We start from the raw sequence: 16,764 nt of genomic DNA, 5'->3' as shown, positions 1-16,764 counted from the left end.
CACTAGTTACAAAGTGTAACTGTAAAAATTACACTATTTGGTGGCCGGGCGCGTTGGCTCATACCTGTAATCCTAGCACTTTGGGAGGCCGAGGCGGGCGGATCACGAGGTCAGGAGATCGAGACCATCCTGGCTAACATGGTGAAAAACTCTCTGTACTAAAAATACAAAAAAAATTAGCCGGGCGTGGTGGCGGGCGCCTGTAGTCCCAGCTACTCAGGAGGCTGAGGCAGGAGAATGGCGTGAACCCGGCAGGCGGAGCTTGCAGTGAGCGGAGATCGCGCCACTGCACTACAGCCTGGAAGACAGAGCGAGACTCCATCTCAAAAAAAAAAAAAAAAAAAAAAAACCAAAAAAGTTAGCCAGGCGTGGTGGCGGCCGCCTGTAATCCCAGCTACTCGGGAGGCTGAGGCAGGCCCACGGAAACAGTGACATGATTCGTGCCAAATTCTGAAGCAATCTTCCCACTAAGGCTATTGGACACAGAATCCGAGTGATGCTGTACCCTTCAAGGATTTAAACTAATGAAAAGTCAATAGGCCGGGTGCGGTGGCTCACGCCTGTCATCCCAGCACTTTGGGAGGCTGAGGCGGGTGAATCACGAGGTCAGGAGTTCAAGACCAGCCTGGCCAAGATGGTGAAACCCCGTCTCTACTAAAAATACAAAAAAGCCGGGTGTGGTGGCGGGCACCTGTAATCCCAGCTACTTGGGAGGCTGAGGCAGAGAACTGCTTGAACCTGGAAGGTGGAGGTTGCAGTGAGTCGAGATCGTGCCACTGCACTCTAGCCTGGGCAACAGAGCGAGACTCCGTCTCAAAAAAAAGAAAAAAAGAAAAAGAGAAAAAAAGAGAAGAAAGAAAAAAGAAAAGTCAATAAATAAACGTGGATTTGTGCTCTTAAAAAAAAATTGCCAGGCATGGTGGATCATGCCTATAATCCCAGCACTTTGGAAGGCCAAGGCAGAAGGACCACTTGAGGTCAGGAGTTCCAGACCAGCCTGGCCAACATGGTGAGATCCCATCTCTACTAAAAATACAAAAAAAATTAGCCGGGCATTGTGGCATGTGCCTGTAATTCCAGCTACTCAGGAGGCTGAGGCAGGAGAATTGCTTGAACCCGTGAGGTGGATGTTTTGGTGAGCCGAGATTGTGCCACCACACTCCAGCCTGGGCAACGAGGGCAATACTCCATCTCAAAAAAAAAAAAAAATTATTCAAAAATTTAAAAGGCTGTAACTCAGCCTTGATTCAAATAGGTTAAAAGTAGTCATGATGATATTTAACAGGAAACATTGCAAGATGAGAACTTTGATGAGGTCTTTCAGGGGAGGACAGATGGTATAGGTATAAGTACATATGTAGGTATAGGTACAGGTACAGATATTGGTATAGGTACAGATACAGTTATAGTAATGGTAGACTCCAAATCACAATGAACCAACATTTGGCCAAAGGCGAAAAAGTTATTTAAGATTACTTTTATGCATGCTCAGTCTCTAGCAAAGGTAACTACCATTCCATTTTTAAAATTTTTTATTTTTTGGAGATGGAGTCTTTTTTTTTTTTTTTTTTTTTTTGAGACAGAGTCTGGCTCTGGCGCAATCTCGGCTTGCTGCAAGCTCTGCCTCCGGGGTTCATGCCATTCTCCTGCCTCAGCCTCCCAAGTAGCTGGGACTACAGGCGCCCGCCACTACGCCCAGCTAATTTTTTATATTTTTAATAGAGATGGGGCTTCACCATGTTAGCCAGGATGGTCTCGATCTCCTGACCTCCTGATCCACCCGCCTCAGCCTCCCAAAGTGCTGGGATGACAGGCATGAGCCACTGTGCCTGGCCAAGGAGACGGAGTCTTGCACTGTCCCCCAGGCTGGAGTGCAGTGGCGTGTTCTCGGCTCACTGCAACCTCTGCCTCACGGGTTCAAGCGATTCTCCTGCCTCAGCCTCCTGAGTAGCTGGGATTACAGACATCCGCCACCATGCCCAGCTAATTTTGGCATTTTTAGTAGAAACGGGGTTTCACCATATTGGCCAGGCTGGTCTCGAACTCCTGACCTCGTGATCTGCCCGCCTTAGCCTCCCAAAGTGCTGGGATTATAGGTGTGAGCCACCGCACCTGGCCTACCATTCCATTTTTAAAACTGTAATAAAGTCGCGTAGCCTCTGAGATAGGCTACTTCTTTTTTTAAATAATTTTTTTTTATTTATTTTAAGACAGAGTCTTACTCTATCACTCAGGCTGGAGTGCAGTGGTGCGATCTGGACTCACTGCATCCTCTGCCTCCCAGGTTCAAACGACTCTGACTCAGTCTCCCAAGTGGCTGGGATTACAGGTGTGCACCACCATGCCAGGCTAATTTTTGTATTTTTAGTAGAGAGGGGGTTTCACCATGTTGGCTAGGCTGGTCTGGAACTCCTGATCTCAAGTGATCCGCCTGCCTCAGCTTCCCAAAGTGCTGAGATTACAGGCATGAGCCACTGCTCCTGGCCAATATTTTAAAATTTTTAATGAAATAAAATAGAGACAGGGTCTCACCATGTTGCTCAGGCTGGTCTCAAACTCCTGGGCTCATGCAGTCCTCCCACCTTGGCCTCCCAAAGTGCTGGGATTACAGGTTTGAGCCACTATGCCTGGCAGTAATTGGCTACTACTAACTCTGAAAACTGTAACCTGAAACTTAAGGCTTTGATTATTTGTTATAGGAAACTACATTTGTCAGAATGCTATAGTAGATTGTGTTTGTTTACTTCAAGTCAACTATATTTGTTATGTGAAGTTATATTTGTATACCAACCTATGTTGGTAAGCCACTGTTTATGACCTCACTGATTTTCTTATAATCATATCTATGTATTATCTTGCCAAGATAGATTCCAAATCCAGAATTTTCCTCCTATGGGTTGTAAACATAAAACGTTATTTGTCTAAGTCTGTTTGTGCTACTATAACAAAATACCTGAGACAGAGTAATTTATAAACAACAGAAATGTGTTTCTCACAGATCTGGAGGGCTGGGAAGTGAAAGATCAAGGTGCCGGCAGGTACAGTGTCTGGTGAGGGACCTGGTTCCTTCTTCACATAGAGCCTTGTTGTTGCATCCTCCGGAGGAGATGAATGCTGTGTCCTCACATGGTAGAAGGACAAAAAAGGGCCGAAGCTAGTTCCCTCCAGCCCTTCCCTCCAGCCCTTTCCCTCAATTCATTCATGGGAGTGGAGTCCTCATGACTTAATTACTTCCCAAACAACCTCACCTCTTAATACCACCAAAGTTGAGATTAAATGTCAACATATGAATTTTGGGGGACATTCAGATCAAAGCAGTATTATAGCACATTTGCTTTCAGAAATGCATAATGATATATTTTTGTGTGTGTTTGTTTTTAGCCAGGGTCTTACTTTGTCACCCAGGCTGGAGTGCAGTGGCACAATCTCGGCTCACTGCAGACTCCACCTTGCAAGTTCAAGCTATTCTCCTGCTTCAGCTCCCCTCCCCCCGCAAATAGCTGGGACTGCAAGCCTGCACCCCATGCCCAGCTAAATTTTGTATTTTTTGTAGAGACAGGGTTTTGCCATGTTGGCCAGGCTGGTCTCGAACTCCTGACCTCAGTAATCCACCCACCTCAGCCTCCCAAAGTGCTGGGCCCAGCGGCTGGGGTGTCTTTTGTCATCTCATCTTTACCCCTTTTTCCCCTGAACTATCCAAATACCCAGCTAAAGGTAGAGATAGAAATAGGAGGGGAGGCAAGTTGGGCTGAGAATGCTTGTGTAACATCAGGCCTGAAGGCACTTTCAGAAGCCAGGCATTGCCTATATTTCATCTCAAACTGCTACACAAGTGTTATTTCCAACCGTGTGCCAATATCACACAATGTCACAACTACACGTGGAACTGAATGAAGGTCCTGGAGAGTCTCTCATAATAGAAATTTTCAGATCCAGACTTGGAAATAACTGGTCATTTAAGTGAGCGAGAGGTGGGGTTAAAATAAAGAATTGTGCTTTTCTATATTTTATTATCATTTCTCTGATAAGAAATGGAAGACGTTAAATAAAAATGGGAGTCTAGGCCCGGTGTGGTGGCTCACGCCTGTAATCCCAGCACTTTGAGAGGCTGAGTCAGGTGGATCACCTGAAGTCAGGAGTTCAAGACCAGCCTGGCCAATATGGTGAAACACCATCTCTACTAAAAATACAAAAATTGGCTGGGCGTGGTGGTGGGTGCCTGTAATCCCAGCTACTTGGGAGGCTGAGGCAGGAGAATTGCTTGAACCCAGGAGGCGGAGGTTGCAGTGAGCCAAGATCGCACCATTCCACTCCAGCCTGGGCGACAAGAGCAAAACTCCGCCTAAAAAAAAAAGCCGGGCACGGTGGCTCATGCCTGTAATCTGTAATCCCAGCACTTTGGGAGACTGAGGCTGGCAGATCACCTGAGGTGGGGAGTTGAGACCAGCCTGACCAGCATGGAGAAACCCTATCTCTACTAAAAATACAAAACTACCCAGACGTGGTGGTGCATGCCTGTAATCCCAGCTACTCAGGAGGTTCAGGCAGGAGAATTTCTAGAACCCGGGAGGCAGAGGTTGTGGTGAGCCAAGATTGCGCCATTGGACTCCAGCCTGGGCAACAAGAGTGAAACTCCATCTCATTAAAAAAAAAAAAAAGGGGGAGTCTAGACCAGGCACAGTAGCTCATGCCCGTAGTCCCAGGACTTTGGGAGGCCAAAGTGGGTGGATTGCTTGAGCCCAGGAGTTCAAGACTAGCCTGGGAAACATGGGGAAACCCTGTCTCTACAAAAAATTAGCCAGGCATGGTGGCACATAGGTGTAGTCCCAGCTACTCGGGAGGCTGAAGTGGGAGGATCACCTGAGCCTGGGAGGTCGAGGCTGCAGTGAGTAATGATCACACCACTGTACTTCAGCCTGGGTGACAGAGTGAGATCCTGTCTTCAAAGAAAAAAAAAAAAGGGCAGGGGGCAGTCTGTGCACACACATTCCCCTTCTTCCAGATCCCTGCCTTTGGACATGAAGACCTCCCTCTAGGGTCTCCAGTCCAAGCTGCCAGGGAGACATCACTCAGCACCACCACACCCTCCATCTGCGTGGACAGGCCTCCTAGGGGATGGCCACTCCTTGTGTAAGATCCATTACCGCTCCGAAAATCAATGTCAAAGATCCAGGGAAGATATGCCCTCTAGAGGAGTTCTAGGGAAACATCTTCCTTTCCCTGATCACTGCTCCTTAAGAAAAATTAGTCACAAAAGGAAAAAAAAAAAGTGACTGTATTTCATAATGTCTTGGTTCATTTTTATACAAGCTGCAAATTCAACATAAGAAACACTTATGGCTGGGTGCAGTGGCTCACGCCTGTAATCCCAGCACTTTGGGAGGGTGAGGCAGGCGGATCATGAGGTCAGGAGTTCGAGACCAGCCTGACCAACATGGTGAAACCGCGTTTCTACTAAAAATATAAAAATTAGTTGGGCGTGGTGGCGGGCCTCTAATCCCAGCTATTCAGGAGGCTGAGGCAGGAGAATTGCTTGAACCCAGGAGGCGGAGGTTGCAGTGAGCCAAGATCGCACCACTGAACTCCAGCCTGGGCTAACACAGCGAGACTCCTTCTCGATAAAAATAATAATAATAATTTTAAAAAAAGAAACACTTACTGTGTGCCAACGATCTGGAGCCAGAGGCCCTGTGAAGGTGCCGCACCATGCTGCTTGCTGGGATTACAGCAGTGAACACAACAGATGTGGGCCTCCATTTCTCAAAGTTCCTGCCCAGTGAGGAGTACAGATGAGCAGAGAGGCAGCGACAAAAACTAAAAGAGATCATGCATGTGAAGTTCTTAGCACAGTCTGTACAATTGTACGTATCCCTGAGCAGCAGCAGCAGGGCACGACAGGCCAGAGCCGGGCTCATCAAGTGTGCAGAACTGAGAAGGGCTGCAGCACGGAACAGTCTGGGGAGCTGAGGCTGGCGGGATGGGTAGGAGGGGGCAGACCATGAAGGCTTTACCCTGGGGATAGGAGCAGGAGTCTCCTACAAATCTGTCAGTTGGTCGGGATTCCCTACTTCCAGGATGGGGAAGGGTGAAGGTTTACAGGGGCAAAGTCTGTGCTGGAGTGAGCCCAGGAATTCAAGACCAGCCTGGGCAACATGGGGAAAAAGAGTAAACACTCCTTTTCTTCTGCATCATGCAGTTTGCCACCATCTGCTATAGAGATCCCCACAGGGCAAGGTTTTCTGCCCGGCCACCTCGAGTGCTACAGGCCTGCCCAGGGGTGTCCTGCCCACACAGGGTGCTGTGGCTCAGGCTCTCAACCTTGGTCCAGCCTCTCACAGCTGAGCATAATACTGATACTGACACTGAGCCTTTGATAGAGGCTGTTAGTTTCCCCCCAGTATTGTTTCTCCAATCTTTTCGTGTTAATAAACCCTAGATTTTTTTTTTTGCAAGACACATGGCCACCAAAAAAGATCTCAACTCCCAGCCTCTCTTGAGACTAGGTATGGCAATGGACAGTGCTCTGGCCAATAGAGCACAAATGGAAGTAATATATCCACATTTCAGGGAGAGCCCTAAAGGAAGGAGTATGCCCTTCCCCGTCAAACCATGCCATTTGTTGAGAATAGAAGAACCACAAGCTTCACCGGGCGTGGTGGCTCACACCTCTAATCTCAGCACTTTGGGAGGCCAAGGAGGGCAGATCGCCTGAGGTCAGGAGTTTGAGACCAGCCTGGCCAACACGGTGAAACCCCGTCTCTACTAAAAATACAAAAATTAGCTGGGCGTGGTGGCATGTGCCTGTAATCCCAGCTACTTGGGAGTTGGGAGGCTGAGGCAGGAGAATCGCTTGAACCCGGGAGGGGAAGTTTGCAGTGAGCCAAGATTGTGCCACTGCACTCCAGCCTAGGCGACAGAGTGAGACTCCATCTCAAAAAAAAAAAAAAAAAAAGAAAAAAGAACCACAAATTAGAAATGTCTTGCCTTCCTGGTAATCTTGGAAGTTCTGCACCAGTCCTGGACTGGTTATCTCAGAATTTGCTTACAGGAAAAATTCACTTGTCTCTTGTTTAAGCCACTGTTATTTCTCAAACTCCTGGACTCAAGCCATCTGCCTTCCATGGCCTCCCAAAGTGCTGGGATTACAGGCATGAGCCACTGCACCCAGCCTAGACATTGTTGCTATGCCTCCACAGAGTACCGTGGAGTAGCCTGAGTGGCCTGGGCCCTGCCTCGGACCCTGTGTTTGAAGGGACTCTGCACTTTGGAGTATCTTCCTTGAAATTTCCTAAGTCACTCTACAGAGCCAAGGGCCAGCCTGTGCCAGCAGAGAACTCGCTCCCATTGGGCGCTCATGGGGTTCTGTAGCCTTGTAGGATCAATTCTGCTAGCAGAGAGGTATTTCTTTTATGGATCGCACATGATTGGGCTACCGGCTGGTCCACTTTGACCCTTAAGCTTGAGCTGTATGTGTGGGTCCTAGTGATGGCTCCCCCGCCCCCATTCTTTGTGTTCCAACTGTGGTGGTATCTCTGTTACCTTAGAGTGGCAGGTAGTCAAAGGAGTCCTTCGTCCTGTGTGTCCCTCACTGATGGTGTCGCGCCACATGCTTCACTGGCACCCAGGAAAGTCATCCCATCCACTCCACAGCCTCTGTGCTACATGCCAGATTGTCCTCTGGGAATAGCTCTGCCTATCTCCTCTCAAAGCTTTCAGGAAGGTTGTTCCACAACCCAACAGGCTCTTCCCATTAATGTCCTCTCTTCTCTTCAATTGATGTGCTGACCTTCTGCTCTCCCAGGTTAGCTGTGCTGGTCAAGGGATGGACTTTCTTTATGTCAAAGTGACTGCTTGGCCTGGTGCAGTGGCTTACCCTTATAATCCCAGCACTTTGGAAGGCCAAGGTGGGAGGATTGCTTGAGACCAGGAATTCAGCATCAGCCTGGGCAACATAGTGAGACCACTTCTCTACTAAAAAAAGAAGGAAAAGAAAGGGACTGCCCTTCTCATTCCACCTACAGGCCGCTCACCTATCCACCCTACTGGTGGTCCTGTGTAAAATGTAGGGGTGCTGCCATCATTGAAGGCGATCACATTCAGCCAGGCATGGTGGCTAACGCCTGTAGTCCCAGCACTTTGGGAGCCCAAGGCTGGTGGATCACCTGAGGTCAGGAGTTCAAGAACAGCCTGACCAACATGGTGAAACCCCATCTCTACTGAAAATACAAAAAAAATTGGCCGGGCATGGTGGCACACCTGTAGTCCCAGCTATTCAGGAGGCTGAGGCAGGAGAATCACTTGAACCCGGGAGGCAGAGGTTGCAGTGAGCCAAGATCGCACCACTGCACTCCAGCCTGGCGACAGAGTGAGACTCCGTCTCAAAAAAATAAAATAAAATAAAATAAAATAAAAACAGAATGTTTGGAAGGCCTGTCCTTCGTCTACTCGGAGTTGTAGTGATCTGGGTTGTAAATCATAGTTAAGAGGGGTCTGATAGCTCCTAACTCCCTATTGTTAGAGAGTTTATAGTAAGACTATGGCTTTTCTTATAGCCATAGGAATTTAGAAATTTGCCATGCCAGCCAGACTCTGAACCCTCTACCTGTAGGTAACTTTAGTTTTCTTTTTTTCTTTTCTTTTTTTTTTTTTTTGAGATGGAGTCTCCCTCTGTCGCCCAGGCTGGAGTGCAGTGGTGCGATCTCGGCTCACTGCAACCTCCGCCTCCCAGGTTTAAGCAATTCTCTGCCTCAGCCTCCTGAGTAGCTGGGATTACAGACGCCCGCCACCATGCGTAGCTAATTTTTTGTACTTTTAGTAGAGACAGGGTTTCACCATGTTGGTCAGGCTGATCTTGAACTCCTGACCTCATGATCCACCCGCCTCAGCCTCCCAAAGTGCTGGGATTACAGGCATGAGCCACCACTCCCAGCCAGAAGTAACTTTGGTTTTCTTAACTGTAGGGCCCTTGTTAGTTGATAAGGGAACATATCAGATCATGGGACTTTACACTTCAGCAATGAGAGGGGGTGCTCTTTAATTTAGGCAGTGATGTGAAGGTATTTGCATTTTTGAAAGAACACGCTAGCTACAAAATGGAGAATAGATTGGCAGTAATTGGGTGAGGATGAGGAAAGATAGTTAGGACACCACTGTAGTCATCCAGGCAAGAGGCAAGAGGACCTGAACAAAAGTGTAGTTGTGAAGATGCAGAGAGGTCAGAGATGTGGAAGGTTCTTAACAGGCAGAACCAGCAGGACCTGGAGATGGATAAGACATGAAATGGGTGGGGCGAGCAGAGAAGGTAGTTGGAGGGAGAATGTCAGATTTTTGGCTTGAGCAACTGGGTGGCTGGCAAAGTCAGTCACAGGGAGACAGGCACCAAAAGAGGAGGAGTTTTGTGGAGAAGGTCAAGGGCTCTGCTTGGACATGTTGAGGCTACACTGCACTTAGGGTGTGCAGGGTATAAGCAAATACATAAACAAATTTATTTTAAAGTCTATAACAGGCTGGGCACAATGGCTCATGCCTGTAATCCCAACACTTTAGGAGGCTAAAGTGGGTGGATTACTTAAGCCCAGGAGTTTGAGACTAGCCCAGGCAACATATTTAGACCATGCCTCTACACACACACACACAGACACACACAAAAAAAAAAAAAGAAAGAAGAAAAGAAAATATATTACAAAATACATGAGCGCCACACCTGTAATCCCAGCACTTTGGGAGGCCGAAGCGGGCGGATGACGAGGTCAAGAGATCAAGACCATCCTGGCCAATATGGTGAAACCCGGTCTCTACTAAAAATACAAAAAATTAGCTGGGCGTGGTGGCGGGCACCTGTAGTCTCAGCTACTCAGGAGGCTGAGGCAGGAGAATCACTTGAACCCGGGAGGTGGAGGTTGCAGTGAGCCGAGATCACACCTCTGCACTCCAGCCTGGGCGACAGAGTGAGACTCTGTCTCAAAAAATAATAATAATAATGACAATAAATGAGCCCATGTGAAGTATAGTGATGTCATTTTTTTCAAGACGGAGTCTCGCTCTGTCACCCAGCCTGGAGTGCCATGGCGCCATCTCGGCTCATTGCAGCCTCCGCCTCCCGGGTTCAAGCGATTTTCCTGCCTCAGCCTCCCAAATAGCTGGGATTACAGGCACCCACTATCATGCCCGGCTAATTTTTGTATTTTTGTAGAGATGGGGTTTCACCATGTTGGCCAGGCTGGTCTTAAACTCCTGTCCTCAGGTGATCCACCTGCCTCGCCCTCCCAAAGTGCTGGGATTACAGGCGTTAGCCATCACACCCAGCCTCAACTGTATATTCTCCTGAGCTTTTTAGGGTATAGTCAATGCATTCCCAAAATGTGATCACTTTCTTTTTTTTTTTTTTGAGACAGAGTCGCGCTCTGTCACCCAGGCTGGAGTGCAATGGTGCGATGTCAGCTCAGTGCAACCTCCAGCTCCCGGGTTCAAGTGATTCTCCTGCCTCAGCCTCTTGAGTAGCTGGTATTACAGGCAACCGCCATCGCGCCTGGCTAATTTTTTTTTTTTTTTTTTTTTTTGAGATGGAGCCTTGCTCTGTTTTGCCGAGAGTTTTTTTGTTTGTTTGTTTTTTGTGATGGGGTTTTGCCAAGTTGGTCAGGCTGGTCTCGAACTCTTGATCTCGTGATCCACCTGCCTTGGCCTCCCAAAGTGCTGGGATTACTGACTGGTGTGAGCCACTGTGTTTCTATTTTTTTTTTTTTTTTTTTTTGAGATGGAGTCTTGCTCTGTCGCCTAGGCCAGAGTGCAGTGGCGTGATCTTGGCGATTCTCCTGCCTCAGCCTTCTGAGTAGCTGGGACCACGGGTGCGAACCACAATGCCCTGCTAATTTTTGTATTTTTAGTAAAGACGGGGTTTCACCAGGTTGGGCAGGATGATCTCAATCTCTTGACCTCGTGATCCGCCTGCCTCGGCCTCCCAAAGTGCTGGGATTACACGTGTGAGCCACTGCTCCCGGCCTATTTTTAAATTTTTGAGATAAAGTCTTGCTCTGTCACCCAGGCTGGAGTGCAGTGGCACGATCTCAGCTCACTGCAACCTCTGCCTCCCAGGTTCAAGCGATTCTCTCGCCTCAGTCTGAGGAGTAGTTGGGACTACAGGCGTATGCCACCATACCTAGCCATAGATTTTTGTCTTTGAATATAACACAACGTGGGAAAAGCATAGTAAATTCACTGATGCCTCACTTATCTCAAATGATACAAATTTTGAACCATTATTAAATTTCACGGAAACCATTATAATTTATATAAACAATATGCTGCAAACATTTGAAACAAGTCATGTAATAGCAAGTCTTTACAAATTTATTAGCCCTAGGAGAAGTATTATTTTTTTTTTCTTGGATGCCAGAATCTTGAGAACAGTATGTGCAAAGTAAAAATGCATTCGATTTGAGAGTTATACTTAGCTTTTTGAAGTTTTTCAAATCTTGCTAGTGAGCCGTTTGCTAATTAAAAGTGATCTTCTGAGCCTGATGTGGTGGTGCGTGCCTGTAGTCCCAGCTACGCTGGAGGCTGAAGCAGGAGGATCCCTTGAGTCCAGGAGTTCAAGACTGTAGGATTTCCAGGTTATAGTGCACAGTGATCTCGTCAGTGAATAGTCACTGAACTCCAGCCTGGGCAATATAGCAGAAACTCTGACTTTATTTTTTATTTTTTTAATTATTTATTTATTTATTTATTTATTTATTTATTTATTTATTTATTTATTTTGAGACGGAGTCTCGCTCTGTCGCCCAGGCTGGATGGAGTGCAGTGGTGCGATCTTGGCTAACTGCAAGCTCCGCCTCCCGGGTTCACACCATTCTCCGGCCTCAGCCTCCCGAGTAGCTGGGACTACAGGCGCTCGCCACGCCCGGCTCATGAGCCGCCTGCCTCGGCCTTCCAAAGTGCTGGGATTACAGGCATGAGCCACCGCGCCCGGCCTGACTTTATTTTTTAAAACAAACAAATAGAAAGGGGACTTCCATTCTGTCAGAGACATTTGAACCAGAGCAACTCCATCTTGAATAGGGGTTGGATAAAATGAGGCTGAAACGTACTGGGCTGCATTCCCAGACACTTGAGGCATTCTAGGTCATAGGATGAGATAGGAGATCGGCACAAGACATAGGTCACAAAGACCTTGCTGATAAAAGAGGTTGCAGTAAAGAAGCCGGCTGAAACCCACCGAAACAAAGATGGCGATGAGAATGACCTCTGGTTGTCCTCACTGCTACACTCCCACCAGCAACCTGACAGTTTACAAATGCCATGGAAACATCAGGAAGTTACCCTATATGATCTAAAAAGGGGAGGCATGAATAATTTGCCTCTTGTTTAGCATATAATCAAGAAATAACTTAACAATGGGCAAACAGCAGCCCTCAGGGCTGCACTGCCTTTGGAGTAACCTTCTTTCGTTTCTTAACTTCTCTAATAAACTTGCTTTCACTTTATGGATTTGCCTTGAATTCTTTGTTGCATGAGATCCAAGAACTCTCTCTTGGGGTTTGGATCATGACCACTTTCTGGCAACAATTCTTCAAAGAAACCTTTTTTTTTTTTTGAGACAGAGTTGTGTGTTTCCCTCTTGTTGCCCAGGCTGATTTGCGATGGCGAGATCTCGGCTCACTGCAGCCTCCACCTCCCAGGTTCAAATGATTCTCCTGCCTCAGCCTCCTGAGTAGCTGGGATTACAGGCGCCCATCACCACGGCTGGATAGTTTTTATTTTTATTTTTAGTAAAGATGAGATTTCACCATGTTGGCCAGGCTGGTCTCGAACTCCTGACCTCAGGTGATCCACGTGCTTCAGCCTCCCAAAGTGCTGGGACTACAGGCGTGAGCCACCACGCCCAGTCCAAAGAAAACTTCATATCTGATTTTATATTTTTTTAAAAAGGCCTTACAGGTTGGGCATGGTTGCTCATGCCTGTAATCCCAACACTTTGGGAGGCCGAGGTGGGTGAATTGCTTGAGCGCAGGAGTTAGAGACTGAAACTGCCTTTGCAAAATTATGACTGAGACAGTGAAAGAAATCTAACTTAACCGACTCCATTTTGCTTCTAACCTCCAAGCTGTCATTCATTCCTGGGCCTAAGCTGAACTAACTTTGGGAGAAACTTGGTTTATAATTTAAAACAAAGACAATAATAGCCCTTTCCCTTTGTTTTAATAGCCCTTTAAAACAAAGACAATAACAGACCTCCTTCTTGCCTGGGGACTAGATTGCCTTTGTAGGACTAACACAGATTAGAAATTATGGTTTAGGCTGGGTGCAGTGGCTCATGCCTGTAATCCCAGCACTTTGGGAGGCAGAGGCGGGCGGATCACCTGAGGTCAGGAGTTCGAGACCAGCCTGACCAATATCATGAACCCCTATCTCTACTAAAAATACAAAAAGTAGCTGGGCGTGGTGGCATGTGCCTGTAATCCCAGCTACTCAGGAGGCTGAGACAGGAGAATGGGTTGAACCCCAGAGGCAGAAATTGCAGTGAGCCGAGATTGCGCCATTGCACTCCAGCCTGGACAACAAGAGCGAAACTCTGTCTCAAGAAAAAAAAGAAAACAAAACAGAAAGAAAGAAATTACGGTTTAGGAGTCATGCAGGTGAAGGCTACAAGATTCTGACCCTCCCTAAACATCTCCTAAGATCAGTGCTTGAGACATTTTGTCGACCCTGCACTTGATGGATCAGCCGGTACCACCCAGATTGATTAACTGGCTCATCTGATCTTATGGCCCCCACCCAGGAACTGACTCAGCGCAAGAAGACAGCTTAGACTCCCTATGATTTCATCTCTGACCAATCAGCACTCCTGGCTCACTGGCTTCCCCTGACCCACCAAGTTGTCCTTAAAAACTCTGCTCCCCAGGCTGGGCGAGGTGGCTCGTGCCTCTAATCCCAGCACTTTGGGAGGCTGAGGCAGGTGGATCACCTGAGGTCAGGAGTTTAAGACCAGCCTGGCCAACTTGGTGAAATCCTGTCTCTAAAAATACAAAAATCAGCTGGGTATGGTGGCACAGGCCTGTAATCCCAGCTACTGAGGCTGAGGCAGGAGAATCACTTGAACCTGGGAGGTGGAGGTTGCAGTGAGCCAAGATTTTGCCATTGCACTCCAGCCTGGGTGACAGAGAGAGACTCCATCTCAAAAAACAGAACAAAACAACAACAACAAAAACAAACTCTGCTCCTCGAATTCTTGGGCAGACTGATTTGAGTAATAATAAAACTCCTGTCTCCCACACAGCAGGCTCTGCGTGAATTACTCTTTCTATATTGCAATTCCTCTGTCTTGAGAAATCGGCTCTGTCTAGGCAGCGGGCAAGGTAAACACATTGGGCGGTTATGAGACCAGCCTAGTTAACACGGTGAAACCCCATCTCTACAAAAAATACAAAAATTAGCCGGGTGTGATGGTGCATTCCTGTAGTCCCAGCTTCTCAGAAGGCTGAAGCGAGAGGATGGCATGAGTCCAGGAAACGGAGGTTACAGTGAGCCAAGATTGAGCAACTGTACTCCAGCATAGGCAACAGAGCCAGATCCTGTACCAAAAAAAAAAAAGCCTTACATTATTTTTTTGCACCATTTCAACCAGTGCATTGTGACGGCTCTGCCCATTAGCTAAATCTAGCTAATCAGTATAAGCATCTGCCCAGTCTGCCCATCTGGCTGGACTTCTCCAGGGAAAGTCCATACTGATACTAAAAGTCTGGCCACAGAAGCTGTTATTCTTTAAAAGTGCCAGGCCTTCACATTGAAAGCTTAGAACAATTTTCTCCCTTCTCTTTTTCTCTTTTGAAATTATGACATACTTAAGTAGAAAACTACATAGAATAGCTATAATGAACCTGTATGGGCCAAAGGAAAACTTCCCTTTCGCCCTCTGAAGGTTGGCTGGAAAATTAACTCACGAAAGATAGATGCAGGCTGGGCACGGTGGTTCACATCTGTAATCCCAGCACTTTGGGGGGCTGAGTCGGGTGGATCACCTGAGGTCAGGAGTTCAAAACCAGCCTGGAAACATGGTGAAAATATAAAAATTAGCTGGGCACAGTGGCGTGTGCTTGTAATCCCAGCTACTCGGGAAGCTGAGACAGGAGAATCACTTGAGCCCAGGAGGTGGAGGTTGCAGTGAGCTGAGATTGTGCCATTGCATTCCAGCCCTGTCGACAGAGCAAGAGTCTGTCCAAAAAACAAAACAAAACAAAACAAAAAAAAAAAAGGTGCATTGGAGAAGAGGCATATAAATGGATTAATGTGTACACAGAGAGAACCACAGAGTGATTAACCAATCCACAACAGGGTTCAGGAGCTTATTTACCATCCTGGCAAAACAGGTTATGGGATAGGGAACAGGAATTCTCTTGAGGGGCCATAGGCGATTATTAGGGAGAATGAATGGGCCCAGAGATAGAGATTGAGTTTTGAATAGTTCCCTGTGGAATGTGAATGAGCTGAGAGACAGACTCTTTTGGGAAAGGACCTGCTCAGGTGTGATTCCATTCCTGATCTTACAGGGAGGGGAAGAGAAAACAATTATTCTTTGTGGTATGTCTGGACTTGAAGCAGATAAAGGAACTTCAGAGAATAACTCATCCTGCCTGTGGGAGAGCTGGTTGAGAAGAGAGGTCAGAGAAACCTTGAAGTTTCTTCTTCAGTTCAGCATGTTGGCATATTTTGGGGTATTAATTTCTGAGCCTCAGCAAACCTCACAGACACCACTTCCTTATACAACTGTAAACACAAACTTTTTTTTTTTTTTTTTTTTTTGAGACAGAGTCCCACCCTGTCACCCAGGCTGGAGTGCATTGGCACGATCTCAACTCACAGCAACCTCTACCTCCCGGGTCAAACAATTCTTGCCTCAGTCTCCCAAGTAGCTGGGATTACAGGCCCGTGCCACCCCACCCGGCTAATTTTTGTATTTTTAGTAGAGATGGGGTTTCACCATGTTGGCCAGGCTGGTCTCAAACTCCTGACCTCAGGTGAGCCACCCGCTTCGGCCTCCCAAAGTGCTAGGATTACAGGTGTGAGCCACTGTGCCTGGCCTCTTTTTTTTTTTTTTTGGAGACTAAGTGTCGATCTGTCACCCAGGCTGGAGTGCAATGGCAGGATCTCGGCTCACTGCAACCTCCACCTCCCGGGTTCAAGCAATTCTCCTGCCTCAGCCTCTGGAGTAGCTGGGATTACAGGCGCCCACCACCATGCTTGGCTAATTTTTTTATATTTTGAATAGAAACGGGGTTTCACCATGTTGCCCAGGCTGGTCTCCAACTCTTGACCTCAAGTGATCCGCCTGCCTCAGCCTCCCAAAGTGCTGGGATTACATCTTTTTTTCTTTTTTTTTTTATGGGGGTGGAGTTGGGGGGTGTCTCACTATGTTGCCCAGGCTGGTCTCCAACACCTGGGCTCAAGTGTTCCTCCCACCTGCCTCGGCCTCCCAAAGTGCTGGGATTATAGGCATGCACCACTGTGCCTGACCTAAACTGTTTTCTTCCACCATACTCTTGTTACCTGAAAAAAAACAGGGTTTGTTTGCCTGGCAAATAACAAATGACTCTCCACAAGGCAGGTTTTAATCAACAGGAGTTTAATTACAAGTAAGGAGAGCACTGGGAGGATTCTTCAAAGCAGTGTCTCCCGGAGAGAAGTGACAGGAGGATTTTAGGGGGTGATGGGGAGGGGAGAGGGTGCCTCATTGCATGTAGAGGAGGGGTCCCAGTTTTGGAAACACAGTGA

At 47.4% G+C, this 16,764-nt stretch overlaps 1 pseudogene, besides 1 other annotated feature; it reads left to right on the top strand.

Moving 5' to 3' along the window:
• On the top strand, positions 416-538 carry RPL35AP4 (ribosomal protein L35a pseudogene 4; annotated as a pseudogene).
• Positions 14,055-14,555: an enhancer, noted in NCBI's record as "H3K4me1 hESC enhancer chr6:33343116-33343616 (GRCh37/hg19 assembly coordinates)". NCBI's record gives its function as "activates a minimal SCP1, AML or CMV promoter by ChIP-STARR-seq in primed H9 embryonic stem cells {active_cell/tissue: H9 hESC(primed)}" and the evidence as "EXISTENCE:reporter gene assay evidence [ECO:0000049][PMID:30033119]".

The sequence above is a fragment of the Homo sapiens genome, chromosome 6 (genome assembly GCF_000001405.40).
Source record: "Homo sapiens chromosome 6, GRCh38.p14 Primary Assembly".
Lineage (NCBI taxonomy): Eukaryota > Metazoa > Chordata > Mammalia > Primates > Hominidae > Homo > Homo sapiens.
Note: the sequence above shows the minus strand (reverse complement) of the source record. Positions and strands in the feature narration are given on the sequence as shown.